Here is a 4,687-nt window from a genome sequence, read left to right as displayed (position 1 = left end):
GACTGACAAAGGAAGAAGAGAAAACACAAATTGCCAATACCAGAAATGAAAGGAATATTATTACAAATCCTGTAGACACTAGAAGGCTAGAATGGACACTACAAAAACAAAACAAACAACTATATGCTTCTAAATTCTACAAATTAGGTGAAATAGATCAATTCCTTGAAAGACAGACTACCGAAACTCAAGAAGAAACAGACAGCTTGAATACCCCTGTATTTATTAAAGAAACAGAAGTGGCACAGCACTTTGGAAGACAATTTGGCAGGTTCTGATAAAGTCAAACGTACATGGACCATGTGACTCGGCAATCCTACCCTTAGGCATTTGCACAAGTGAAATGAAAACCTATGCTCAGACAAAAAGCACTTTGTGAATTCCAATCCACTTATAATTTATCAAAAAGTGAAAATAGTCCATATTCCTCCAACGACAAACCAATAAGCAAACCATGTAGTATTTATACAATGGATTACTATTTGGCAATTAAAAGGAATAACTGTTGATGCAGTATATGAAAGTAGCCAGACTCAAAAGGCTACATCCTGAACGATTCCATTTGTATAAAATTCTGAAAAAAAAGCAATGCCAGAGGAACACAGATCAGTTATTGCCAGAAGTTTACAATGGAAGGTTTTACTATAAAGGGCAAGGTAATTTTTGGAGTGATCATATAATTTTGTAATCTACCAAAAACAAACATAATAAATGGGCAGATAAGTAAAGTTCATGGATTGGAAAGTTCAATATTGCAAAGGTCTCCCAAAAATGACCTATCAATTTAATCCCAGTGGAAATTCCAATCAGTTTTGTGAAGGCTGCTAAGTCAACTCTAAAATGGCCAAGAATAGACAAGATCACCGGAGAGGAAGCAGGGAGGTGGACACAAATATCTTCTGATTGATGAGTGAAATCATTAGAAGGCCAGCAAAAATACAAGTAAGCCAGAATTTCTAAAGCACCACAAAAGAACACTAGTTAGTAGTGCATAAAGGTATCTCCTAAATTTGTTGTAAACATAGGCCTTTAAAAAAAATATTAGAAACTGATATTTAAAGAGATATAAACTCATATTAAGCTTTTAAAAAATTCTAAGCAAGGGCCTCACCTAATTTCATAAAAGGTTGCGTAGAACCAACCATTGCTGCAAACGATGTGCTGCCCTGAGATGTGAGGATCCCAGTGGTCCCTCTGGGTCAACAGCAGCTACCGCAGGTGAGCCCAAATTCTGATACATTATCTATCTACAATCATTATTTTTAACAATTTATATCAATGCTACCCATAAGGCACAGAGAAGCAGAAATGTTTATGTGGCCTCCTGCCAAAAACAATCACTTGCACTTATTTCTAGTACTCCAGAAAACAGTAATAGAAGTTTTTCAATTTAGAAAAACATTTACAGCAAAGAAAAAAATCTCTGTAAACTTCCTGCTTAACCAATCTAGTGAATTGTGATGAGCCATATAAATTCATTTAGCCACCTTATGAAAGACTTAATCCAAAGTCACTTCTAACTTCTAGAAGAGCTAATGTATTATAATCACAGTTGTGAAAGACTCAAAGGCCAGAAATGTCAAGGTGTGGTCTATATCCTAAGTCCAGAAAAAAAAACAAAAAGCAACATGTACAGGCCAAATGATTGCCAATTTCTTCTGCCTACGTCATCTTTCTTCACTATAGCCTGAAATTACATTTCATGTTTGACAATTCTCAGCAAGGAGACAAAACAAGCTTATGAGTAAAATAATAGAAAGCAGAGCCACAGAGAGGACGAGAGGCAGGAGTCATCTCCCAAGTCCAAGTTCAACTTCTATATTATTAGACAAGGCCTCAGTGTCTTTGAACTGCAAGGAATTAATATTGATTGTAGCATGAGTAAAATCTATCTTCTACTCAACATGAAAAGTCACAGTCGTTTTGTTTAAAGACTCCAGAATTATTATAGGCAGAAACAAGTAGGTTCCACACCTATTTGGTGAAACGAGGAATCAGGAATGAGCATTCCCAAGAGAATACAATTACAAAAGTAAAATCACCTAGAGTTTTTGGGCTGCTTAAAAAACCCAGAAAGAAGTGCCAAATGGGAAAATAATCAAATTCAGTGGAAAAACTCACTTGAAGGTATCATGGTCAGCTGGGTTTCCACCCCTTTGTTGCACTTCAAATCCTGTGTATTCCACAAAGACTTGCTCCTTTCTAAAGGCTATGGTTCACATTCAACAGAATAGCAGCAACCACCATGAGCCTGAGGGCTGGCTAGTCTTTAGTATTCTGCCTTATTCAAAGAAAGGATCATTTCCCTCATTCCTAAAGATCTCTTAGGTCCATCACAAAAAAAAAAGGAGCAGCAGCCAGGCGCAATGGCTCACACCTGTAATCCCAGCACTTTGAGAGGCCAAGGGGGGAGGATCACCTGAGGTCGAGAGTTCAAGACCAGCCTGGCCAACATGATGAAACTAAAAATACAAAAATCAGCCGGGTGTGGTGGTGTGTGCCTGTAATCCCAGCTACTTTGGAGCTGGGTAACTGGCAGAGGTTGAACAATTTGCAGGTCTCAGAAGACAGGAAAATGTGGGAAAGTTTGAAATTCCAAGAGACTTGTTGAATGGCTTTGACCAAAATGCTGATAATGATATGGACAATGAAATCCATGCTGAGGCAGTCTCTGATGGAGATGAGGAACTTGCTGGGAACTGGAGCAAAGGTGACTCTTGTCACCTTTGATAAGATGGTGGTTGAGGAGAGGTCTTGGCAAGCAGTGATGTGTGAATGTAGTGAGGGGCCTGAAAATGGAACTCAGAGAGGACACTGGGTTTTAGAGGCTGAAACTACAGAAAGTCCGCTGCGTTCAAGGCCTGCTTCCACCAAAATCTAGCAGTGTGGCCTCAAACCATTTCATTTCTCTTGGCCTCAGTTTCTACATCTGCAAAATGGGATTTATAATCCACCCCAGCCCACAGAATTCAGAGTTATATGAGAAGGCTAGAAGAGCTCACCTACCAAGGGACTCTTTTAATGACAAGGTGGGGAAACTGAGGCACCGAGAAGGCTAGGGCTCTGCTAGCTGTCACCCAGAGTCTGATGGACCTGAGATGAGAAACCAGAACTCCTGCCCCTAGTTCCCCCGGCTTTCCTCAGGCTGGGGAGTGAGTGCGGTGAGATAGAAAGGGCAAGCCCTCCTGCTGTTTCTCTCTGGACAGGGGCGGGATGCTGGGTGAAGGGTGAAAGGAAGAGGCTGGAGAAGGGAGAAAAGCTCCAGCTCACACTAAGTCTGAATTTTTTTAAAATGCGGACTCCGTGGCCCCTCCCTTACCCGCCCCAATCCTCTCTGAAGTCCTGGTTGTGAGGGGCCAAGTCCCAAAGTCTGCTGCTCCGCCTCTCTGTGTGCAGAGCCATGGGGCCTTCACAGGCTGCAGTGGGTCCCGAGCCCCCAGGGCTGTGCCTGCTGGTCCTGACCAAGATCGCGGCTGCCGAGGTCAGTCCAGCGCCAAGGGCACAGGGCCAGGGCAGGCGGGGCAGGGCTACCCGAAGCGCATAGAGGCTGCTGGTGTCAACGTGACGTCTTCTGGGGCGCCTGGCATCCCTAGGAGTGGAAGCCGCTGATGAAGTCAAAGCTGCCTCCTCCTTCAGGAAGACTTTGCTCCCATAGCTGGCGAACAGGAAGCGGAGCAGCGCCAGGAGGATCTGCGGGCGCTGCTGAGGGCTTCTTTGCAGGGACAGTGCAGCAGGCAGCCAGGGACAAGACTGCACGGCAGCGCCCCATGGCCAGGGGAAGCTCAGAACCGGAGTCGCCCGCTGCCCGGCGATTCTCCATCCCTGGATCGGTACAGGGGCATTTGGACGCTGTGGGGAAGTCGCGGTCTGGGGATATTGGGTCCAGCCTTCGGGTAGAAGCAGGTGATAAACGCACTCAGGCCAGCCCGGAGCGTCAGCCACACTGCGGTGCCCACGATGCCCAGGGTGAGCGCCACGAGGCGCAGGAAATTGGCTAGGGTGGGAGCTCACTGGTAGGCGGCCCTGGAAGTCAAAGATCTGCTGCTCCAGCGCTGCCACCAGTTGCAGGCAGCAGAAGGCGAGGAGCGTGTGGCACCCGCGTACTCGCCCATCGCTCCGCGGACCTCTTTATCCAACCTTCAATAATTATTCTTTTTATTATATTCAATGATTATTCTACTTTTCATAGAGAGCAGCTGTCAGTCCAATAACACACTTAACAAATGATATACCTAGTCCTCAAGGTTAACAAACACATGAAGACCAGCCCAACCCTGAAAATCAGTTTGCAAACCTTCGCTATATCTGATGCCATTCCTAAAAATTTTTAGGGACAAGTTTTGTTTGTGGTAAACAACATAAGGTGGGGTGTGTGCTGAGCCCAAAGCTGACCAATTGCTCACAATTACTCATAACTACCCATTGACTTGATTTTATCAAACTTCAGACAGTCTTGTCTCCTCTCCTCAGGCCCCTGGACCTTGGCTCACCACCTAAGACTGAACAAGCACTAAAGGACAGACCAGCCCGCTAACAGCTCACTCCAAAAATGAGCGGGACTCCCAGAGAAACTATTTTTATTGGAGCATCCTGGTTTTGCCACCTGCTCACCCGACTGCCTGTCCTTCTCTCCAAGGAGGCTTCTGCCAGCCCTGCTTGTCCTTCCCTAGAAAAGGAAAGCCTTTTC

General features: G+C 44.9%; 1 annotated feature.

The window, feature by feature from the left end:
• Positions 3,584-4,192: an enhancer, noted in NCBI's record as "H3K4me1 hESC enhancer chr1:148864647-148865255 (GRCh37/hg19 assembly coordinates)". NCBI's record gives its function as "activates a minimal SCP1, AML or CMV promoter by ChIP-STARR-seq in naive H9 embryonic stem cells {active_cell/tissue: H9 hESC(naive)}" and the evidence as "EXISTENCE:reporter gene assay evidence [ECO:0000049][PMID:30033119]".

Source organism: Homo sapiens, chromosome 1, assembly GCF_000001405.40.
Source record: "Homo sapiens chromosome 1, GRCh38.p14 Primary Assembly".
NCBI classification, from domain to species: Eukaryota; Metazoa; Chordata; class Mammalia; order Primates; family Hominidae; genus Homo; species Homo sapiens.
This window is presented reverse-complemented; position numbering and strand designations above follow the sequence as displayed.